General features: G+C 40.7%; 1 protein-coding gene and 2 long non-coding RNA genes across 3 annotated transcripts, besides 1 other annotated feature; 1 reads left to right on the forward strand and 2 right to left on the reverse strand.

The window, feature by feature from the left end:
- Nucleotides 1–275: 275 nt before the first annotated feature.
- Nucleotides 276–8,545, reverse strand: LOC124906098 (uncharacterized). Its single transcript, XR_007087317.1, has 3 exons — nucleotides 8,266–8,545; nucleotides 7,611–7,774; nucleotides 276–2,001 (listed from the first exon to the last, which is right to left on the reverse strand). It is a non-coding gene; the product is annotated as an uncharacterized LOC124906098 (long non-coding RNA).
- Nucleotides 6,928–23,106, forward strand: IFT70A-AS1 (IFT70A antisense RNA 1). The gene is made up of 3 exons (NR_198966.1): nucleotides 6,928–7,041; nucleotides 21,169–21,388; nucleotides 22,156–23,106. It is a non-coding gene; the product is annotated as an IFT70A antisense RNA 1 (long non-coding RNA).
- On the reverse strand, nucleotides 16,867–22,610 carry IFT70A (intraflagellar transport 70A). The gene has a single exon (NM_152275.4). The coding sequence runs from the start codon at nucleotides 22,567–22,569 to the stop codon at nucleotides 20,572–20,574; it is 1,998 nt and encodes a 665-aa protein (NP_689488.3). The 5' UTR covers nucleotides 22,570–22,610; the 3' UTR covers nucleotides 16,867–20,571.
- Nucleotides 22,683–22,912: an enhancer, noted in NCBI's record as "active region_16798". NCBI's record gives its function as "activates an Ori minimal core promoter by ATAC-STARR-seq in GM12878 lymphoblastoid cells {active_cell/tissue: GM12878}" and the evidence as "EXISTENCE:reporter gene assay evidence [ECO:0000049][PMID:35858748]".
- Nucleotides 23,107–24,346: the final 1,240 nt, after the last annotated feature.

Here is a 24,346-nt window from a genome sequence, read left to right on the forward strand (position 1 = left end):
GGGTTGGAAGGAAATACAGCAGTTAACCACCTGAAATCTCAGTAAACAAAATAAGAATACCATCAAGTTTTACAACTGTGGGACAGAAGATTGCCAAATATAGGTTCCATTTAAAAAATTAGGAACTAAGTTATGTTACATACTTGAGTATTTTTGTCACAGAGTTATTACCTGTAACTAGAAGATTCCATTTCTACTAAGAAGTGGAGTAATAAATGGAAAAACATCAGTTGCTGTACCTTTGATTCCAATCCCATTGTATTCAGACAATGCAATGAATTTCTCACAAGCTTTTAATATGTAAAAACAATGCACTGGTATTCCTAATATTTTAAATGTATGTTGCTTGTCTTTTGCTAGTGGCAAAGAGGACCAGCATTAAGATGTCTGTTCATCAATTTCTTGATGTCTGCCCATCAGTTTCTCTCTCGATCAGGTGCTCCACCAGACTCAATTTAATGGAGGAAATCTCATTTGGGTCCTGGAAAGATTAAAGCACCTTACCCTTTACTTCCAAATTGAGTTCCTCTGGGAATCAACTTGAGATCCAGAAGTCTTGAATGAAACCAAATGCTTTGGGAGATAGTTTGCATTGCCTTAAAGTTTGCTCTCTGGAGGACTGTAGACACCGCAAACGGCCTTCTGTACTGTGTTCGGCTACTGTAGTCAATGTACTGAGAAACTCTTAATATTCCTAGGGCTTCCTAAATGGCCTAGAAATAAAGCTAACAGAAGAGGGCAATATATTTCACATAACTAACTTAACAGCATACCCAAAGTTATTTCTTTTCAAATAGCTCATGAAAGGACCTGGTCAGAATTTTGGTGGCAATAGAAATACCTGAACATGAATCCATCAGCTGCCCTTTAAATCTCCAGACTTTGAGTCTATTAAGAATGAAACACCACCCTGGAGGCTACAACCTTTACAAGGTCTGTGTTTCTTCTCCAAAAAATAAAAAGAACAAAGTCACCACTCTCCTCTCTCAACTGGAGGAAAACTCAGTAGAAACTCAACACTCTTTTTCAGTGAGAAATACCTGATGTCATATATTTTGTTTAATAAAGACTGAATTGGCTGTACACTAAGCCGATTTAAGAATGTGATCTGCAACTCATAGTCTTAATTACATGGAAAAAAAAGTGAATGAGTTCATTAATGCTGTAAAAAGGAATAGTGACCCTACCTGCCAAGTAGCAAGGTGGAAATAATTAATCTGGTCAATTAAAAAGAAACAGATAATTTAAAACACAAAGGCTTCCAGGTGGGGCACTGCATTCTGCTCTCTGGAACTGCGACTTCTTATTGTCGATTTTGGTTTTCTCAGTAAGTTTTCTTTGTTCTTTCCTTAAAATTTTTTTTTTTCGTCATGGATCAAATCAAATAGAAAAATCTGTCTGAGCTACAAAGCATGACTTGTTGCATTATGTCTTATGTCCTAAAATGTTGATTGATGCTAACTAACATACACTCTGGAAGTGCTCTGGCGGGGGCAGCGGGGGGTGGGTGGGGGAAGGGGTTACCAAGTTCCAGTATCATATCCAAGATTCTTTTCTCTCTTGGTGGGAGTCTGTTATATCTTACTTTCCCTTCAAAATTGTTTGCCTTTCCTGGGGTTTTAATAATATTTTTAAAGTGCTGGAGTCTGAGCCGCACTGTCTGGCTTATCTAATCCCATTTATGATCCTATAACCTTGAAGCTTGCCATGGCCTGGCTGTCAGCACCAGATTCTAAATACATGGGGCAGTGTGTTTGCTCCATGGAACAGGAAATTAGTCAAACAGTTACTTTTCTACAAATGTTCATAATTTCTCTTGACATTTACAAGCCAGTAGTAGTTCTTAGACATCGAATGATCTCAAGCCCCTCAGGGAGCAGTGAGTGGTTATCTATAACACTGCCCTGTGCAGATATTTGTGCAGAGCGTCAGTGCACTCCATTCCATTGCAGCAGAAAGATTGAGCACCGTCACCCAGCGCTGGTCCAGTCTATCTGTGCACTGCAGGTACAAGGAAAAAAGAACGTGTTAGTACTTTAATCCTTTTCAGCTGGTCCAAGCCCGGTCTCAGGACAAATATTAATATCATTTTCATTTTAACCATGGCAAAGGTTGAATAAAGCAGCATCCAATTTTTTCAATCTGCTCAAGAGAAAACTGTTTTCGTGGTGAAAGTTTGACTGCAAAATTCTGGTTGCTAAGGAGGAAAAACCTCATCTAAGAAAACAAATGTTGCTGTGGTGAAATGCGATTTGAAAGTCTGTATTTCCTAGGTGTTAGACTTGGCAAGTTAGAAATAGTGAGGGTGGAGAAAGGATGCTTTCCGTGGATGTGCTCAAACACAGTAGTACATATTGTCAGCTCTGCAGGAGGCGTGCTGTGGCCATATGTGTGTTGCGGAGTGAAATGGAATAAACAGCTGCTGCCAGGAATCCAATTCCTGGCAAGGAGGCAAACCCAAGTCCTCCTGTTTCCAAAATAAAAATCACCAGAGGGATTCCCCTTACAGCAGTTCCAGCCAGTAGTTTTATAAAAGCATAAAACATCAGTGTATTGTGGTTTATAATAATCCCTTACATTTGTAAAGCATTTTACAGTTTATAAAGTGCTTTACATACATTATCTCATTTGAGCCTCATAACAGCTCTGGAGAGTACTAGGCAAAATATTGAGATTCTCTTTTCACAGATGGAAAAAGGAAGGTTCAAAGAATGAAATGGTGAACCTGGTGCCCCAGCCTACAGCCATCCAGGCAGAGACATCCAGGGGCTACACTGGGGGCCTTGGGGACCCAGTAAAGGGATTAGTTTTTGTGTAGTTGAGGTGCAAAAGCAATTTTACTTCTCTTTGTGCAAGCATCAGCTTGCTCTATCAAAGGGCTTCTCCCACACTTTTTGAAGCAGCAAGGGAAGAAAGTAAGTTGTAAGGGAGCAAGTGGCAAGGGGAAAAGGTACTCAGCATACTGAGTGCAGAATCTAGTTTGCCCTTGATGGTAGTCAAGGCTATTTCAGTTTCAGCACGTACTGCAGAGATCAGCCAGGGTCACCTCAGAACTGCCTGGAGGAAGCAGCTTTGATACTGTTCAATTGTTCTCAGACACTGCCACCTTTGTTCACCCTTTGCAGAAAAACAGGCTTTTTTCCTAGAACTGCCAGCCTTGTGGTCATGTGAAGGCAGATTTATAGGAAGAACCTACATAGCCTTTTATGAAGAAACCCCCTCTGACCTTAGGAATTGGTGAGATGCAGAATTGTCCTATTCTGTGAGACAGGGGACATCACAGGTAGATGCTGTGGTGGCCCTGTTGTGGGCTGCTTTAGTCCTGAAATAGGAAACTGCTCTCTGGTAGAGACATAGAGACTTCTCTGACATGTACCTGGTTACCTGATCAGGTCTCAGTGGGCCCGCTACCACGCCTTGGGGTTTTGTGCTCTTTGGTTCTAGCTGCAGAATCTAGAAGTATAAGCTAGTGGTTAAAACACAAATCCTGGAACCAAAGTGCCAGTTGTTCTATGCTTACCAAATGTCTGTGGTGACAGAGGTGTACCTTACCTGAAAACATGGGGCTACTAATAAAATCTGTTTCATAAGGTTGTTGTAAGAATTAAATGAGGAATTATTTGCAAAGTGCTTAGAGTTGTGCCTGGGGTGAGGCAGGTGCTCTGTCCCAGCCCAGCTCCAGCCAGCCTCTTGCTGCTCCCTGACAATGTTTCAGTTACGATAGTGGTGACATCCCTCCTTCCTGTGTCAACTGTAACTCACTGTCCCATGATCCCCCAGGAAGATGCACAAACCAAGAGGCATTTTGCCTTTTGCAGTTTAATCATGGATCTTTTCATGCTGCAAAACAACCGGGGTTTATAGGGACACAATACATTTTAGTTGAGTTTATTTACATTTTTGACGTTAAAGCAAAAGTGGCACCCCCAAAATTTAAACAGGCAAGAAAGACTTTATTCAAGGCTATTGCAATAGGGGAGAGAGGCCAGAACTTTGTCTGAATTCAACTCCACTGGAAACAGTGTGTTTTTGAATGCTGGAGTGAGAGGGAGATGTGTGAGCTATCTGTGTTTGCTAACTGGCTTTACCCAAAGGAAAGCAAACTTCTCATATCTTTATGACAGGTGGTAGTTTTACAACTTGGAGCAAGGCACCCACTGAAGTTAGGTTCCTGTCATTCCACAGGATATGTTATGAGGCTCAAAGCTATCTTCTTTGATGATTATATTTCAAAGACATGGATCCTAGATCCTTGACAAACACATTTCTGGGTAGTAAAACTGGCAAGGGATGTTTTAAAAGATTTACGTATATCTCAAAGGAGCAGAGAACAAATTTACAATTAAAAGTTTCCTAAAGAAAATACAGCCTGGCCAACATAGTGAGACTCAATTTAAAAAAAAAAAAAAACAATAGTCACGCCTGCTGGTGCGCTCCTGTGGTCCCAGCTACTCCAGAGGCTGAAGTAGGAGGATCACTTGAGCCCAGGAGGTCAAGGCTACAGTGAGCTATGATAGCACCACTGCACTCCAGCCTGGGTGACAAAGCAAGACCCTGTTTCAGAAAAAAAAAAGCTCTAAGAAAAGAGAGGTCAGAGCCTCAAGTCAGGAAGAAGCCCGTCTGAAGTTTAGTTACGCTGAGGGAAACATTAAGGCTATCTGTGTCCTTGGTGTTTTAGAAACTGGGTGGTGATTTGCTCCAGAATGCCCCTTCCAAAGAATTCCTTTTGAAGGTGAACACAAGAAGTGCAGGGCCCCTGCTAGGCCACAATAGGAGCCCAGCTTCTTTCAGTTACCTGAATGTCCAGTCTCAGCCCTTTCCTTTTTCAAAGGGCAGCTAACTCTCACTGACTGAGAAAGGAGACAGCCTCATTCTACTTTCTGTCTTGACCTCTCTGAGTCCAGGTCCACTTGATAAGGTGATGTCCCTCCCCTGGACCAAAGATTGACACTCTGCCCCTTCAGTTCATCCAAGGTCATGTGGTTTGGAAAAACCTATATAGCAGAGGAAAAGTCACGACCCTGCTAATTAGGACTTTGCCCTGAATGTCAAACGGGATGCACTTTAAAGATATAAGCCTGCTCACAGGAAAAAGACCCTTTGTGGATTCCTACTCCCAACCTAGGTCACAACTAGCCCATCAGCCTTCAGGTGCACACCCATTCCTTTCAGGAAAACTCCACTCCCAAACACCCCTAGTCATTTGGTCTGCAGAAGCCATCCAGGACTTCGACCAAATGGTTAGTGATGGCTGTTCCTATTTAAACCTCACGAAACAATAAGGTGTGTGGTGGTCGGGGGGCGGGGGGCATTTCTTGTTGCATGGAGAAGGGTGGGTCTGAAGTCTACTGGTCAGATTTATTTTTCAATATTTCTACCAGGGTGAGCTATAGGCGTGCTCATCCCTTCACCTCTTATGCTGTGTCTGCCAGTCTCATCCAATGGCCACATTCATTTTCAGGAAAAATATAGTTTATTACTTATTTATTTATTTTGAGACAGAGTGTCGCTCTGTCGCCCAGGCTGGAGTGCAGGGTCACAATCTCGGCTCACTGCAAACTCTGCATCCCAGGTTCAAGTGATTCTCCTTTGCCTCAGCCTCCTGGGTAGCTGGGATTACAGGCACCCACTACCACTCCTGACTAATTTTTGTATTTTTAGTAGAGACAGGGTTTCACCATGTTGGCCAGGCTGGTCTTGAACTCCTGGCCTCAAGTGATCCGCCCACCTCGGCCTCCCAAAGTGCTGAGATTACAGGCGTGAGCCACTGTGCCAGGCTCTGGGATGATAGCGTTTACATTGATATTGAGAAGTATTTCCCAAATTTGCAAGGTACCTTTCCTCTTCTCTCTCTCCTCCTTTCCCCCCTTGGGGCATTAGGCCCCATTTTTGTATAGGACAGTGTTTGGTTTCTTTCCTGTTCTGCTCTGGGAGGAGAGCAGGGGAGAAGAAAATTATTGCTAGAATATTAAAGGAGCTATGTTACCCAAGGGCCATTCTGATCCTCCTCCGGGCCTTTTGTGTATGGGGCTAGAGTAGGGAGGTTGCCAGTTCTTGCTGTGTCGCCCATGGGGTTTTGGCTCTAGAAATGCTACAGAGCTGTAGTTAAATTGTATTTTACGCATTCAAAGGAGCCACTTTCAAATCTTAAAGCAGACCCTGACCTGCAGAAAATCAAATGTTAAAAATCAACAGATGTTTGAGCAAGAGGAAGTACAACACTGAAGGTCTCTTCGTCGTTTGCCACATACAAGGCCTATGAGGGTAAATGTGGCATGCTCAAAGTAGCACAGATTTACACTAATGTTTTACCCAGGCAAAGTTTTCAGAAGAACTCAACTACCTTTAATGTTGATTCTAAAAGGGTGGTGTGTTCTTAGAGCACCCGTGGTAAAAAGAGTATGAAGCTCTGGACATTTGGGGAAGAGACAAAGAACCTGCTGGATTGTCTGTGCAAGACACAGGCGCTGACCTGGAGCTTACAAGAGGTGAAAGGACTAATCTGCATGGAAGGGACCCACACTCTGCACTACAGAACACATGGGAAGACACAGACCCAACTCACAGCAAGCCACATGTTGCCCACAGCAGGCCAACAGGCTAAGTATGTTGAAAGGGTTAACCATAGAGCAGTAATGTAAGAAATCTATGTAACAATGTGAACAGCCTCATAAAAAACGCCCAGCCAAGACCAGCTACATAGTTTTCAAAGCCCAGTGCAAAATGTAAATGTGAGGTCCCTTGTTCACAAATTATTAAGAATTTCAAAACAGTGACAGCAGAGATTAAACCAAGCACGAAGAGGATCCTCCTATGTGTAAAGCTTTGTGTGACTGCACAGAACCCACATCCAATGAAGTGAGCCCTGTGTCTCCAATAGAATCAATCCAAATGTATATCATCAAAACACTCTAATGCATTGATTTTACTTAGCAGGAAAGACCTTTGTCCTCTCCACAGAGCAGCTATGTCAACAGAAGGAAAAGAGATGGAGTGGACCTTCCTGGGATCCAGGCTGAACAGGGCTCTCCTCACTCTAAGGTGAAGACTGTGATTCTCTGTCTCCTTCTAAGGTGACGGGGTTCCTATTTTAAGCTATCTGCCAGTATGTGTGTCGGGTCTGAAGTTGTGTTGGTTCTGTGAAAAGGTTTCTCTTATACATGATTTCTTTCCCATGTCCCCCTTTCTTAGCAAACACATTGCTCTTTAAGAGATTCAGGGAAAAAAAATTTTTTGGCAAGTTTTGTGGGCTTTTATTAGATATACGCTGTAATTTCAAACTGATTACATGATGTCTGGCTTTCTCTGAACCCCAATTCAATATCCTGAAGAAGGGGAAGCTTTATTGCAAGGCTGAGGCACACACCAGGAGTGGGGTCTGGTGGGAAGTGCTGGCGCTCACGGGTCTGCTGATTGCTCTGGCTTCACCCCCTAAAATCTCTGGCTGACTGCGGATCCTTCACCTCTGCATTGCTTTTTACATGGACTTTTTCATCCTTCTGAATTATGTTTATTTTGCAATTATAAACTTTTTTTTAAAAAAAGACAAATCATTCACACTGTTACAACCTTAATATGCCAACTGTTTTCACTTTTCCACATTCTCTTACCGTCCTGGATTAACGTTTTGATCGTTGCATTCATGCTGGAATTATAAATTTTTGTTCCGGTATAGTCGAATTTTAATGCCTTCTATGCTCATAAAGTTAAAAATCATTTACAAATTTAAAGAACAGAAAGGAACAATAAAGCCAAGAAGAGGCCTTAGAATTGCCTGCAAATAGAAGATAAAGATTATGCAACAGTTATAAACTTTTTTCAGTAAAAGACAAATCATTCATAATTCTACAACCTTAGCACTCCATCTGCCTCTAAATGCTTAGTGGCAGTGATCCCAATAGAATAGAACTGAAGTGATTTTAATGGTTACCTATTTTATAGAAAAGAAAACGGAGTCTCAGAGGTTAAATGACCTGCCCAAAGTTGCACAGCCCCTAGATGCAGTCAGGACTAAAGTGGGCTGTGAAGGACTTTTTCACATAAGCTGAATAATCCTATTTCCACACTAGTAAGTTTCTGTGGGACATAAGTTCTTTGAGTGTCTATACTTTGTGGAATGAGAGAGTTGGAACAGATGCTTTCAAAAATCTTTCCAACTCTAAAACTTTGAATCCAACTCAAAATGAACACAATTGGATCCCAGCCTAGTCAGCCCAGGATTACCACACACATAATGAAAAATGTGGTAATGATCAGAACACTCACGATTTTAACAAGATGTTTTGTGCAGTGGCTAACTGGATTCTTACAAAAGCTGAAGGCTGGATCTCAGACTGCACTGTGACAATACATCCGCTGTCAGACAGATCCACAGGCTGGTGCTGACACTGTAAAATGACTAAGTCAGAGTAAAAGGAGGTGGTGGTCAGCAAACAAATGGAGGGGTGATCCTGTTTCCTGCAAAGATCCTTGAGCTTAGAGGACTTTCCAAGCAGAATAAGGCCCCCTCTACTGGTAGGATTTGTCATCCACCAAAAAGTCAGAACTTGTTAGGTTTGTGAGAAATGGGGGAAAAATCCTAATATCAGAACAGATTAGAGTGGTAAGGAAATGTGAAAACAACAACAAAAAACATAGTTTATAAAGTTTCAACTCTTCAGACAAGCAAATACAGCTCTAGAAAGTTTACAGTTGTTTTCCAATACATTTGTTAGGCAGCATTCTCCCAAGGAAATTTTCACCATAGGTGGTGAAAATATCTGACTAAAAATATAAAGCTAGCTTTTTGAAAATAGTGAATCAATGTAAATAAAAATCACACTTTTGATCAGCGGAGAGTAGGATTCTCCCCACACTCTCTCATGAAACTCTTTCATTTGCCTTTACCAAGATTTCTTAAACTTCAGTCATTCAACTATCACTGTCATGCTTCTTGCCATAGCCTAGTACTATGTGTATTATTTAATATTTTTCCTTCAATAAAACCATTTTTATTTTAGCTTCATCCTAAGCAATAGAATCCATGAAATTTCAGGTTTGATGTGTTAGGTATATATGTGTTTGCGTATGTGTGTGAATGGGTACATAAACCATACACACGATAAAATAAATACATGGCTCTTGAAAAATGTTCATCTGTGTGCCAAATTCTTCTCCATTAATTATTGCATGCGTGTAACATGCTTTACAAAACACTGAGGTAGCACCTCATGTTTAAGTCATGTAAATACGGTAGTCATAATTTCATCATTCCTTTAAAGGCAAGTTGTTGATTGCCTTTCTTCATCTGGTCTTGCCCTTCTGCCTTATCCTCTTCCTTGAGGCCTTTCTTCATCTCTTTTCCATCCTTTGACAGTCATTTGGTTTAGTATTCATATTTCTTTTCTCCAGTGTGGTGAGGAAAACGTCTTTCTCTACTGCCCACTGGGGACTGTGCCTCATTTGACACTGAACTCAGGGAAACCACATTGAAACAAACTGGCATTTGACAGGATGAATAAAAAGACCTTTGCATCCTTGTCATCTCCTAGGAATTGGGGCTTGAAGAATATTGAACAGTGATGTTATTTCTATTTCATCCTCATAGTCAGCCTTCTCTGAGGAAATGGCACATAAACACAGAAAGACCAATGTACAAAAACATGTTTAATAAATTATTCCTTGAGGAACAGAATAGAGTCTGTTTTTGTTTGGGCACTGTGAAGGCTGAAGTACTTGCAGGGAAGAATGGAGATGAGAAAAAGGCTGATCTTCATGAAATCGTTTCCTTTATTAAACATTCCTGTGGAATTAATTCATGCTCTGTTTCTTCAGTAAAAAAAGCGACCATTATGCATTTATGGCTGGATCAATACAATTCCCAGTTAGTTATAACTTGATACTGCTGTGAACCCCCAATTATTTACAGTGAATTATCTGTATTGAAGCTGACCCACAAAAGATCACTTTTGAAACGTCTTGTCATTGTAATCTGTTTTCTTGGCTCTAACCTATTATATCATCTCTGTTAACACTTAATAAGAAGTAAATAACCTAGGTTAGGCATGGTGGCACATGCTTGTAATTTCAGCACTTAGAGAGGTCAAGATGGGAGCCTCACTTGAGGCCAGGAATTCAAGACCAGCCTGAACAACATAGTGAGACCCCATCTGTAAAATTTAAATTTTAATTTTAAAAAGAAGTGAATAAACAGCCTTTCAACACAAAATATTACACTTTTAAGCAACTTTGGACCTAAAGAGCTCAGAAAGATTTGCTTCAAGTACAATCCATTTTATATTAAGAAGTGCATTACCTAAAGTTATATAGAAAACTCTTCTCCCAAAGGAAAGAACTGCAGCGGCTAAATTTTCATTTTGGTAACATTTGCATAAGAGTTTCAGAATCATATGGAAGATTTTTACCAAGTAGCCCATGATAAACCAAACATGGATGAAAATGAAAGTTACAGCAGAAATTTAAGCATATTCAATTCTAACAGCAGCTGATCCTGAAGACTGAAAAGCTAATACAAGACTCTGGGACCCATGTGGAGGAATGGGTTCTCTGCATTTACCGTGGCTTCCCAAAGAGGTTCTTTCTGATGGCAAACAGATGGAAACCCCATAGAGAGGCAGATTACCGCTGTGACTATCACAGGGCTACATCGTGCTTTGGAAATGACATCAGCCAGGAAATCAGTGACTGGAGTTTCAGATTTCATAGAAGGATTTTGCTTCGTTTTTTGTAGGCCCAAAGATGGCAGGAGGAGGCAATAAATTCTGCCTTAGAACCTCTCCTGGTAGATGTTTAAAGAGATTATAGGAGTAAATCAACTGTCCCAATCCCCTGATGTGATGTGGACCATCCGGTTTGAATTTTAATTTCTAGCGTCCTTCTTTTAGAGAACCGAAATAAGCCAACAACTCAGAATTAAGTTGGGCCTGATAAGTGGAATGCAATGCTGAGGGGGATTATCAGGAAGACCTAAAGTATTTACTTTTTATGAAGCTTTTCCCTTAACCAGATTTATAGCTGGAAAGGGCCAAGACTGCAATAGTGCTGTACATAGATTAGCATTTCTCACCAGAGAATAGATTAGGTTGTCTCACTTCAACGCTAAATCCTGCTGTTGTTTTCATTCTTTCATCGTTACTGAGATTTTACTGAAATCACCTTTGTGAATGTGGAGGAAATTCTAAAACTGGGGAATATGTTTTCTGTGACTTGCTGTATGCATTGGTATTTACCTTGTGTTTTTGCCAAGAAGCAGTAAGCAAGGTTTAGACTTAGTTCTTTGGGTGGAACAATTTAACTCTCTATTTAACTCTACATAAGTGAATGCTCTTCCAGTGAATTCATATCCAATTTTATGAGTAGCTGTTGCAATTTCAAAAGACTTGATGAGCAGTTAATGCTAATGAAGTCAAGGTTTTGGGTAACATCTTTACAAAGGTCAGTTAATTTTGTCCTACTCACCTGAACTTGAGGAGTGACGCTGGGTCTCAAGGAAGACATACTCCCAGAGTGTTTGGGAATACGCATAAAGATTCATCACCCTATGAACAATAGTCAAAATGTATGGCGTATATGTGATGCCAAAAGAAATTCAATGACACTTTAGATGATGAGGCATCCTTTATTTAAGGTGTGTATGTGGGAACTACCTCCATAGGTATACAGGACCACTGCAATGCGATTTTGCGGTAGGGAAGAGTGATTGGGCTTAACTCCACATATAGCATGGGCAAGTGGGAATTTATAGCCAAGGAGCAGGGTGGGGATCAATGGATGGAAAAGTACTAAGAGCAGACATTAGGGCTAAGTGGGGATTCTGGCCAGACTGACATAATAGGATTCTTGCTGAAAGCAGGCTGGGGTGATCAGACATACCTGAGGAATGGTGGAGAATAAGAGACCCAGTAACATCTGGAGGGTAATCAGATATGAAGGAAGAGGGAGTCTACTAAGCCAAGGATTCTTGTTAAAATTGGACAGTGCAGGCCGGGCACGGTGGCTCACGCCTGTAATCCCAGCAGTTTGGGAGGCTGAGGCAGGTGGATCATGAGGTCAGGAGATTGAGACCATCCTGGCTAACACGGTGAAACCCCGTCTCTACTAAAAATACAAAAAATTAGCCGGGTGTGGTGGTGGGCACCTGTAGTCCCAGCTACTCAGGAGGCTGAGGCAGGAGAATGGCATGAATCTGGGAAGCGGGGCTTGCAGTGAGCCGAGATCACGCCACTGCACTCCAGCCTGGGTGACCGAGACTCCGTCTCAAAAAAACAAAACAACAACAACAAAAAAAAAACTGGACAGTGTAGGGACAAATACGGAAGTCCAAAAGTCAAGGCCTACTTGAAAAGTTCAGGGGAGCCTGAGTAGAGTTCTGTCAAAGAGAAAATCTTTTTCAATGGTGTTTTCTGGGTGCTTTTAGAGACAAGAAGCAGAAAAATATGGCTCAAACAAGTTCAAACAATAAGATATTATTTCCATTCTACTGAAGACTCAGAGGTGGGTCAGGCTCCAGGATCATCAAGGACTCAAATTCTTTCTGTTTCTTAAGATATCTTCAAAGTCACCTTCACCCAAAGTCACCACGACCCTCCATCAAGGTCACAAACTGGTGGCACCAGATTCAGATCAACAATGCTTGATGAAGAGAGACTTTTTCTTATGTCCTTTTTTTTTTTTTTTCCAAAGGGGTAAAGAAAGCTTTCCCAGCAGCCTTCCAGGAGACTTCCTGTGTCTTGGTAAGGATTGGGTCACATGCCTTTTCCTAAATTAATCATGGAAAGGGAAATTATAGTGATCAATTAGACCAGCGGTTCTCAACCTTGGCTGCATTTTGAAAGCTCAGGAAAATACAGATACCTGGGTTCCACCCTCAGAAATTCTTTAGTTGTTTTGGGATGCAGCCTGGTGCATGTGATATGGTTTGTATCTGTGTCCCCATGGTTTGTATCTGTGTCCCCACCCAAATCTCATGTTCAATTGTAATCCTCAGAGTTGGAGGTGGAACCTGGTGGAAAGTGATTGGATCATGGGGGTAGATGCTTCATGAATGGTTGGCACCATCCCTTTGGTGCTGTTCTCATGATGGTGAGTTCTCACAAGATCTGGTTGACTAAAAGTGTGTAGCACCTCCGCCCTCATGCTCTCTCTTGGTCCTGCTCCTGCCATGTTAGACGCCTGCTCCCACTTTGCCTTCCACCATGAGTAAAAGCTCCCTGAGCCTCCCCAGAAGCAGATGCTGCCATCCTTTCTGTACAGCCTGTGGAATCATGAGCCAATTAAACCTTGTTTCTTTATAAATTACCCAGTCTTAGTTAATTCTTTATAGCAGTGCAAGAGTGGACTAATACAGCATGAGAGCTTTAAAAGCTTCTCAGATAATTCTACTGGGCAGTCAAACATTTTGAGAACCATCAGTTTAGACCAAATGTTTGGGGGTGGGGGCAGAGTGAAGCTGGAGAATTCATACTGAATAATAAACCAATATAGGGCTGGGCACAGTGGCTCCTGCCTGTAATCCCAGCACTTTGGGAGGCCAAGGCAGATGGATAGCTTGAGCCCAGGAGTTCGAGACCAGCCTGGCTAACTTGTGAAACCCTGTATCTACAAGAAAAAAAAAATTAGCCAGGTGTGGTGGTGTGTGCCTGTAGCCCAGCTACTCGGGTGGCTGAAGTGGGAGGATTGCTTGATCCCAGGAGGTCAAGGCTGCAGTGATCCATGATCACACCACTGCACTATAGCTTGGATGACAGAGTGAGACCGTGTCTCAAAATAAATAAATCAACATAACCATTGAGTATTATTAATTTCCAATGCAAATTTTTAAAAAATGTATGTGTATCTATAAATGCATATGTGGGACTGGAGTCTGGTTTGGAGGAATCCAAATTTATAGGAAGAACAGTTGAATATGGCTCAAATATTAGGAGAACAAATTGGGTGTATCCAAAGTCAACCAAAAGCATTTGTAAGCATGGTTATGATAATGCACAGTCACTTTTGACTTTAGCAAAGCTAAACTAATAAACTAAGTAGAGATGACAGTGAAGGAATTCAGGACATGCCACTCCAAAATATGCTGCCTTGGCATCTTAGTTGTTTTGAAATAGAGGCACTTGAGAAATAGCAGGTATAGGAAGGGCACTCTAATCTCCCCTTTTCTTCCCGAAAGCAGTAGATGAAACTCCCAAGTGGAAGATACCCTCCCTATACCAGTACAAAAGAAACAACATGCTTATCACCAGAGACAGGGAATTGAGGCTGAGAGAAATCTGTACAAACTTTGTTAAACTAACTTATCTTCCTAGTTACTTTTCCACAATTTCCACCCTTTGTTCAAACTACTGTATAACTGCTTAGGCCTAGCCACTTCTTTGGGTCTTCATTGTCCTTGTGGGGGCTCCCGTGTATATGTAAATAAAATTTGCTTTTCTCCTGTTTAATCTGTCTTACGTCAATCCTAGCTGAAAACCCTAAGAGGACAGTAGAAAAATTTTCCTCTCCTACAACAGCAAATGACATTTATGAGTCTTTGAAAACAAAGAGAATATTTTCATGTTCTTAAATTTTGAAAACTCTTCTTAGCTTCCACTATCAAATTGTATAGCTTTTAGCTACTTCAGTATTTTTAAAATTCCTTCTATGAAAGCCAAAGTTTCCTTAAGAATTATTGAATGTATGATTTAAAAAAATGTTTTTAAAAAGTTTCACTGGTTTAAAAGCTATTTTTTAATGAATCGGAATACCCCAGATTAAGTGCCTCTAAAAAAAATTCAGATCCTTTGATTTGTTCCATTTATTCATTTTGCATCATTTCTTTAGGTTGGGCATCAGGATTACTTTATTCTCAAACATGTTGCACCACAACCTTCACACCAGCACAGAGCAGTCACATGGTCACTACTGTGTGTATACAGAACAATGGTTCTTAACCTTTGCTATACATTAGAGTTACCTGGGGGACTTACAAAAAAACTGACCCCTCCTCCCACTCCCATCTCCATAAATAGAAATAGAATTGTTAGGGGTTAGAGCCAAGGCATCTTTACTTTTTAAAAAGTTTACCCACTGATTCTCATGTAGAATGTGGACTAAGAATTATTAGTACAAAAAGAAAAAAGAAGGTAAATAACAGGGACTTAATCATGGCTCAATTGCTTGCTTTTAATTTTTCCTCCTCAAAACCTAAGCAAAATGAGCAATCAATCTCCTGGAAGAGGGTGTTTAGGAGTTTAGCTCAAACGGACTTTGCAAGTAAAGGTAAAGCCTTACGGGGCCTCAAAAGTCTCTGGTAACACTTTGTAAATACTTGTGAAATCAGCTGGCTCTATGCTGGGATTTTTGGATAAGTGAGTCACAACTCTTTGCACTTAAGGTGTAGGGAAGCCTTCTGACAGCCATTTTTACGTGTTTGGTGGCTGGAAACTATAATGAAGAGAAGAAAATCACTGACTTGAAGAAGGATCATATAAGGTGATTTTTTTCAAAGCAGTGATGAAACAACAGGTGAGTCAATAATCTTTCTGCCCAGCCCAGATTGCACCGCAGCTAAATCTGCGCTGCTGCAAATAGCACAGCACACCTGCTCAGGAACCCTCAACGCACTTTTGTAAACCATAGTGTAATTTAGGCCAGCCCTGGAATGTTCTCACTAAGTGTATTTTGGAAAAAGCCTATTAAACCACTGATTAAATTATCAGCAGGAACTGAAGTGGCAAAAGTCATAGCTCTGGGAAAAGAAATGCCTAGCACTGATAGAAAAATTTGTAAAGAAAGCAAACAAACAAATAAAAAAACAAAAAATACCTAAGAGAAGGTGTTATGGAACTGAACAGGGATTCGCCCTCCTGGCACAATAAGGCCAAACATCCACACTGAGGTTTGCAGCAGGAGAAAGGAGGACATTTATTTGCAGAGTGCCAAGCAAGGAGGATCAGGCAGTTCTTGCTTAAGTCCTGACTTATGGTTTGCAAGCAAGGGTTTTTTAAAGGCAGGGGTAAATTTTAGGAAAGCAGATGTTACAGGCAAAATTGTAAATCAATATATGGCGTTTACACATTGGTTTGGCCTAAAAGGGCAGGATATCTTGAAGTGGGGACTTAGTGATCATAGATAGATTGAAAAATTTTCTAATTTGCAATTGGTTATGGAAAAGAAGGTTTGTTTAAAAATTCTGGGGTCAGCAGAAAAGAATGTAAGCTCTGGCTCCTGGGTGTGGGTTCCTCCAGGCACCTCAGAAAAAAATTTAGACCATAAAGAACGGCAGTCAGAGTTCAGTCCTCAGTTCCCCCTTATCTGAGGTCTATGTGCAGGCAGATCTGTTTGGTGGGGGTCTGGGTTTCTGAAAAACAATTCAAGGACATATGTTAAGATGTTATCTCTAGTTCCTATAGGGGAACCAAACATCCTGTGATTCCAATTTCTTTGGCTATCGCCTTAAGTTACTAATACCTTCTTGCTCATCAAGTTGCTTATTTGCTTTTCAGGGCTAGCTAGGTGGCTGGAACTTCCCTTGTAGGAACTCAGGATTTTCCTTTATTTCTATACTTGGAGGGCCCTGTAGGCCCCTAAGAGGGGTCCCTGCCCTAAGAGAAAGGTAGTAGAGTGGAAAGAGCAGGAGAATTGAGTAAGACGCCCTGAATTCTGATCCAGGCTTTGCCCGGATCCTATTTGGCTCTATCATATTATCCCGGGGAAGACATCTTAATCTCTCTGAGCCTCAGTTTTATGATTCAAGAGATGAACTGGTCTAAGCCCTCATTGTTCAGACTCTAGCTGCAGACACATTCCAGATGTTTATCTTAATCCTTAATTTGTAATTTAAAAGAACCTATTTAGGTCGTATCTACAAATGTAAAAAAATCACATTTACAATTTCCCATTTTATATTTTACATGATTATTTCCAGAACCATTTTATAATTTTACCAATCATTTCATTATAGATCTTATATACATTGTCAGAAAAATAGTCTCCTCAGTTTCTGAAACTACTTGCAGCGTCTTGGTCAAATCATGTATAGCTCTCCTCTGTTCTTTGGCATTTTGTGAAAACAGTTTAATGGTAATGAATCAGTACAAGAACAAAAGTTCTAGAAACAAAAATATTGTTTTAACTACAGAAAAATTTTTTGCCTTTTCCAGTAAACATACAAAATAATTGCACTCCTTAGCATATGTGAGTATGTGGTATTGCCTTCTAATTAAATATTTTTCAGCAAAGTGTTGCTGTTATGGTCTGATTCCTGAAGCTTTCTTTTGCTTTACAATGTTAGGGTGTGACCATCTCTTCCTATGGTACTTCATGACTAAAAATGGAACAGACACTTTATATTCACAAAAGTACATATTCTCCTTTCCATATACACTATAGTGTATGGTTTTGGAAAATTTGGAAGAATTGGGACTAAGACGTTGAGACTCTGATTAGAAAAACTAACCAGTAATTTACTGTTGAGACTTAAGATCTTGAGAGTTTGTGGGTACTCTGTGGACACATGTTTTATAGCAGATGCCATGAGTGCTGGTGAAACTTTTAGTCATGTGTCCTCTATCTTAAGCATTTGACTCTCCTAATGAAATAATTGAAAATAAAATATTAGCAGCAATAAATGCTTTCCCACATAACTTACTAGGGTCCTGCTTGCATAGTATAATTTTAGCCATTTGCTGTTTTGAATTAAGGTATTCAGTCATTGATATTGATGTGTTTTATTTCACAAACGTGCAAATTTCACTTTTGAACAAGGATTTGGGCCCATTTTATATGTTCACATGATATTAATATTTGCAATCAAGTTATTGGCAGGTCTCACTTAAACTAACAAATGCTTATTTTTCACACTAGAAATGTACTTATAAGTCTCTATATTCTAATAATTTTTCCTTATGAAGCAAGTCCTTTTCTAGTAAATACACATTATGATGTTGTAGAACGGATTTCAGTATGTGGTGGATCAATCTTGGCCCAAATCCAAAGGAGCTGATTTAATTAAACAACCAAAAGAACCTCAATTAATAGTGGTATCAAGTATAGAGTAATCACTTAGTAAAGACTCACTCCCCAAGAGAATATTAAACACTATACCTATGGCTAGTAAATTAATTACCGTTTGGCTAATGTCTGGCCCTATTTTTCAATATAAAATGATTATAGATTACAGTAAGGCAAGTGTCCTCTAAAGTTGAGTATATTTAATTCCCAGTGTTACAGAATTTAAAATGATACAAATACTGCATGTCTTTAAAATTTCAGTCTGTTTTTCTACTGAGTTCAAAAAGTTTAAAAGATGGAGGCTACCACAAATATATAAAAAAACTTCACTCTATTCTACAACTTACATAGATCTAGTACTTTTGGTGAGTCCTCTTAAAATTTTTTCTGGCATTACCAATCTGAGAGTCACTTTTTATCAATATATGTTATCTTGTTTTGCAAAAATGCATTTTTAAAAGGTTTCCAAAGTCACCTTGATAATCATAGTGCTCACTCACTTGACACTTACTGCTAAAAGGTTGTTATGCATCTTTTATACCTGGTTGAGGTTCAACTTCCAGCTATCAGAGAAAAATGTCCCTATAATTCTATAATTGACAAAAGGGAAAAGATAAAAAAGGGAAAGAGAACAGGGTGGTAAGAAAGATTGATTTTTCATTTCTTATCTTGTGATACATGCTGCAGCAGTAAACACCACTATCTCTCAAGTAGACCCTTTGAAGACAGGGGGAGAAAACACTCCAAGAGAAAGCTTTAAACTAGAGATTGCCTTCCTATTCTATGTGGCTTTGACCTTTTGGAAAGTGCATGGCCTCTTCTCCTTGTATTAAATAAAACAAGAATATGAGGACTGATGATTTGATTTGGTGAGTTAGTTATGGAAGTAGTTCTGGCATCTCTTATTTCCATTCTGTTATCCATTACTTCTGTTCTGTTAATGGCAGCAGACACTTGATTAACTACTGAGATTTGGACATGCAGGAGATCCAAGGTGGATTGTGAAGTACATCATTAGCTAAATCTCCATTACATCTTCACTTCACCGGTTCCTCTGTTTCCAGATTTCTGGCAGACTGGCATCTAAAGGCCTTCATGTTAGAAGCAGGAGAGGCTCTAAATATTTCAAGAATAATTGAGGAAAAAATACACATTATAACAGCTTGTCAAACTACTGAATGGAACGGTGGTTCATCATTTTTTGGAAGGATTAAAAGCAAATCTCCTCTTCCCGAACAAAAACAAACATTAGTACAAAAACTGAAAGAGGAAGTTAAGAGAATTATACCATTTCTAAATACTTATAAAATTATTAATTTATGCGCAACCATAACAGAGACTGGGGACCACCCTATATATATTCATAGCTACGGCTGTAAGCAAAAATTCCAGGTAAAAAGGCAAAAATCCAAATTTCTTATTAATAATCAGTATAACATCCAACAATAACAATCACTTACCATAGGGGTTAACATTTACTGTAAGCCAAAATCCTAGAAAACATTAATATAAAATACAATTATATATTTCCTAGCTGATTTGCTTATATATCCAGGTCATAAAAAAAGAAAGGCAACTTTTTTCTATGTGGCTTATACAGAATCGGATGTTACAGCTAAAAGTAATTGTAAAGGCTTCTGATAGTTCAAATGATTGTGAAATCCCAAAGAATAAAGGAATTTCTGACAGCCTAAAATTAGAAGGTATGGAACTCATACTTTTATTCTTCTCATTCTCAGTTCAGTGCTTATTTTTTCCTAAAAAATTAAAAAGTAAAAATTAAAAATTTCAGTTTTTAAAAAACCAAAAATATTAATAAGCTTCCACACTTAATATATGTCAGTATCCACAAGGAGGCAAAATCATTTCTGTAAAATCAAAAATAGAACATGAAGAAAAACGTTTATTATAAAACTTAAGAAGCAACCAATCAACCAAATTATGAAAAAAAATTTTGTCACTGACCAAACCTCATAACCTGAAAAGAACCAAGAAAAGAAATTCCCATTATACTTGTACTTCTAAAAGGGCTTAGAGGTCTAAACTAGACTTCGTTGCAATCCAGAAAGTTAAAGGACTAAAAAACTGGAGAAATAGAGTTAAGAATTAGATTTATCAGACAGCATAGTCTATGCTGAGATAGCAAAATAGACATGGCTTTATTTGCTGATTGAGAAGTGGTCCAGCCGTGGGCTAGCAGTCATTTACATATCAGTGACCAAATGCAAACATACCCGTACTAACAGTGCTTTGGTCCATGACATACCCTTTTGACAGCCCAAAGCTGAAACGTCAACTCTATCTGGGGTTACTTGCTTATACAAAGATGTTACTCTAGCAATTGTTGCTTGAGGGCAAGACCAGATGATTGTCACTAGTAGGAAGAAAGCAGAAGTGATGCAGCTTACACTGCATAGTCCCTACCCTTCTGGATTAAATGAAAAAGTTGCTCAAACATAAACTTGTTCTTACAAAGTGGATAAGATTCAAAATAAGACAAATATAAAGATGCCAAGGCTAAATACAGATAAAAAAAAGTGTGGTACGTAAGAAAGCCATTTTGAAAAAAGCCACTATCAGTCATAACTACTTATTCCATCCTATAATCTCATAAATCAAAGCTTTCAATTGTCTGGACTCATCTGTGACTGTATTCTTCCCAACATGCATTCTTTCTTCTTCGAGGGGTTGTTCAATAACAGCAGGTATGTTTGTGCCATAAAGTTCACAGTGTCCTAAAAACTGGACACATTCTTGAATAACACTGTCATGAATGACTATCATGTGTTTTGACATGTTTTCTAACAAGGACAGGAAGCATCTTTTGGCATAATACCAGGTATCTGTTCCCAGCTTTTTATTATAAGGCTCCAAGCTTTTGATAACTCGAGAAATACCAAACTCATAGTTTCCTTTGGCACAATAAAGAGTTCCTATCACCAAATTCACAATGCAGAGATGGTACATTTTCCGATTTGGGTCATCATAAGAGAGCTGCTCTTCCTCCTTTTCAATCTTCCTCATCAACTCCTCTGCTTCTTCATTTTGACTTGTCATAATATAGGAAACACAGAGATTAGCCAGTACAATAGCACTGACATTCAGGATGTTATCATAATGCTTCTTGACTATGGGTTCATAGAAACCAATGGCTTCTTTGTATTTGTTTTCCTGCATGAACAGAACATGAGCCACATTCAACTTCCACACATCATGGTCGTTACAGAATTCCACAGATTTGCGGAAGACCTTTTCCACCATTGGATAATTTTCAAGATTCCAGTAGATTTTTGCCTGAGCCATCAACACAGGAATGTATTTCTCCATGGTTTCATCATATTCATTCACTGCCTTTTTGATAGCTTCATCATCTCTGTTGTGTCTTGCTTCCTGTACTTGCTTGGTGAGTCTCCGAAGCTGCTCAGTCAGCATCCCTGCTAGCCCATCAAGCTTAATGAAAGCCTCTTCAGGAGCTGTCTGGCAAGTGATCAGGGCATCTAAGAAGTCATAGAGATAGGGTGTGAGGAACTTATACGTCAAATGGGCATTTTCTGCCAGGACATCTGCTGCCAGGTCAAAATACTCATATTTACAGTAGAGCAGCAACAGGTTGCCAAAAGTCTCTGGAGGAAAGGGATTCTGTTGGAGCAAAAACTGTAGCTTTTCAAACCCTTCTGTAGGCCTGGCATCCATGTTCATTAGTGCCTGGTTGTGCAGGGTCACAGGGTCCAACTCTTCCTCTGCCCTGGGTGGCATGTCGGTGAGGGTTTCTTGAGCTACCTCATAGTTTCTCAGTTGGTATTCTATGGCTGCCTTAAGGTTGAAGGCTTCCACCAGAGCAGTCTGATGGAGAACTAAGGTGTTGCCAACACTGCGAACATCAAAGCCCTCGGTGGTCATGCCCACACCTAGCTCAGGATGCTGGCGGATGCCACGCTCAATAATCTCAGCGATATGCTTCAGTGCTGAGGCATACTGTCGGCTGCTGTAATAGGCCAAAGCCAGGTTGTAGGAAAGGTCAGGCTGGTAGCCCGAGGCCTGCAGTGTGGCAGAAAACTTGGAGCATGCAGCTTCATACTGTCCCTCCTTGTAGAGCAAACAACCCAGGTTGACCTGGCCATCGGTCTCATTGTCGCCTCCACTTTCTTCTCCCCCTTCCCCACTCAGCAGCTGCTCCACCAGGCTCCTGGACCCTGGCAGATCGCCCTCGCTATACTTGATGGCAGCTTGCAGGCGGAGGACCCGGCTGTGGTAGGCGGGGTTATCCAGGAGAAGGAAGGCGACCCGAGTGGCCTCCGGATAAAGGCAGGCCTTGTACAGGGCCTGGGCCTGGTACAGGCGGTACTGCTCCAGTTCCGGGTGCAGCTGGCCCAGCTGCTCATAGCACTCGGCCGCCAGCGCGAACTCCTGCAGGCGGTAGTAGCAGTAGCCTAGCAGCGACAGGCCGGCACGGCTCCTGGGGCTCCGCTGCAGTTCTCGGCCCAGCAGCTGCACCGCCTCGGCGTAGCGGGCATCGCGGATGAGCCGGTACACTAGCGCGGTAAACTCCCCGTCGGGGATCTGCGCGCCGCTCAGACCAGCCATAACCACCACGGCTGTTATGCGTGCGGTTACCACGGCAACAGGGCAACCGGGCAACCGGAAACGGAAGACGACGGGTTACTTTGCCACGGAAGGAATCTGTTAGGAATAAAAAGGGACCGTTCTCGTTAGTCTCTCAAGTTCGGTTTGATCTTCAAATATTCTGGACTGCAGCGTGGCGGCAGTCAGAAGGGGAAAGACGACTACTCCGGGCCGTTCAGAGACTGAATCTTCCCGGTCCCGGCATGCATCGTTCCTGTGGCGCCGCTGCGCAGGCGTGGCCGCACTGCATGCTGGGAGGCGTAGTCCCTGTTGCACCGACCCGACTCGCGGCCCGTGTGGACGCACGGTCACTCGCCTTCCCTGCCCCCTAAAGATGAGGGGCACTCTCTGTGTCTGTTGTGCCACCTCGGTCTCTAGCGAATCGGAGGAAGATTTCCGGCACCATGTTCTGGCGATTTTGAGCCTTGTGCATTGGTGTGGTCTATACTAATGCTGGCGTTTGGCTTACTTTTAATAAAGTAGAGATCGTCAGTACAATAAAAGGACCTTTTAATAAAAGGAGCGGGATGGCAAAAGGGAGTTAACTCCTTGAATTCCCTTGGAATTAGAGCAGGTTCTTATGCTACCCCGAGGGCACAGTTTGTAAGAACAGAATACAGCAGCAAACAGAAATCCTTCTTATTTTGGTGGTTTCCAGAGGTTAATAAGGAAAAAGTGCTGTGAATCTTAATTGGTACTGGGAGAGGATCTGTTTTTGATCGCAGTATCTCTCCTTTTCCATGACAAAAAAAAAATTACTGAGTATATGTTGGCGTTTACACTTGGTTGTATCCATTGCTGTGGTCCTCCAACTGTCTCTGCCAATAAGAAATCAGTATCTTTTGTCATCTCCCATGATATCCATTGGTCTCTCTAGCACCTAATATAAACCTAATCCAAGTAAAAGTGTGTTGTTTGCTACATAATTACTGCAAATCCTTTGTATGCATCCATAATAGTGTTACTGCCCATAAATCTTTTCTGTATATAAACTTCACAGCTATCATACGGTTGATAACGATGTCAACCATATCATATAGCACCTCTATTAGAGACTGTTTACATATAGTATTTCTAATTTGAATAAGCAGCCTGCATTCTGCATATTGTAGTTTAAGAAGTCTGTGGGCTAGAAAGGTTTAAAGATTTAAGTATTACATTAATTAAATCAAACTATTAAATTAATAGTTTGTTTAAAGCCACATCTAGGTAGGTAGGGGCTGAACCATGATATCCAATAACCAATTTCAATAGGAAATAGTGACTGATGAATAACCCAATCCATGTATCTCATGTACGTGAGTTTGTAAGGGCCCATTGTTTGGTGCTAAGTGTGTATAAGGAATATTATTGTCTTTGTTTCTCCATTAAAACAATGAACTAACTTTGTGTAGTTAGTAAACTTTGAACTTCTAGGCCTTGATTCCAGCTGTGAGCAGATGTGACTACTGGAGTTGTGTAGTTCGTATTTACCCAGTATCACTGGAAGGAGATTTTTAGTAGGTGTGTGATTGCTCATATCATCATATGACTGACTTTATGTACTTACTCAGTCTTCTCCCTTGCCAGGAATTGGCAGAGTTGGGTCTTTTTGGCTGGAACTAGACAAGGAGCTTCCCAGTGCATCAATTCCAAGAAAGGGAAACTGCACCCATTTCAGGATTGAATGGGACTTTGGCTCACCTAAGACCCCACAGAAAGCAACTGTGGAATATTACTATAACTCTATTCTGAGGCT

The sequence above is a fragment of the Homo sapiens genome, chromosome 2, assembly GCF_000001405.40.
Source record: "Homo sapiens chromosome 2, GRCh38.p14 Primary Assembly".
Lineage (NCBI taxonomy): Eukaryota > Metazoa > Chordata > Mammalia > Primates > Hominidae > Homo > Homo sapiens.

What these genes read in the sequence shown, in the direction of transcription:
- IFT70A (NM_152275.4), bottom strand. Translation starts at nt 22,569, where the DNA reads ATGGCTGGTCTGAGCGGCGCGCAGATCCCCGACGGGGAGTTTACCGCG.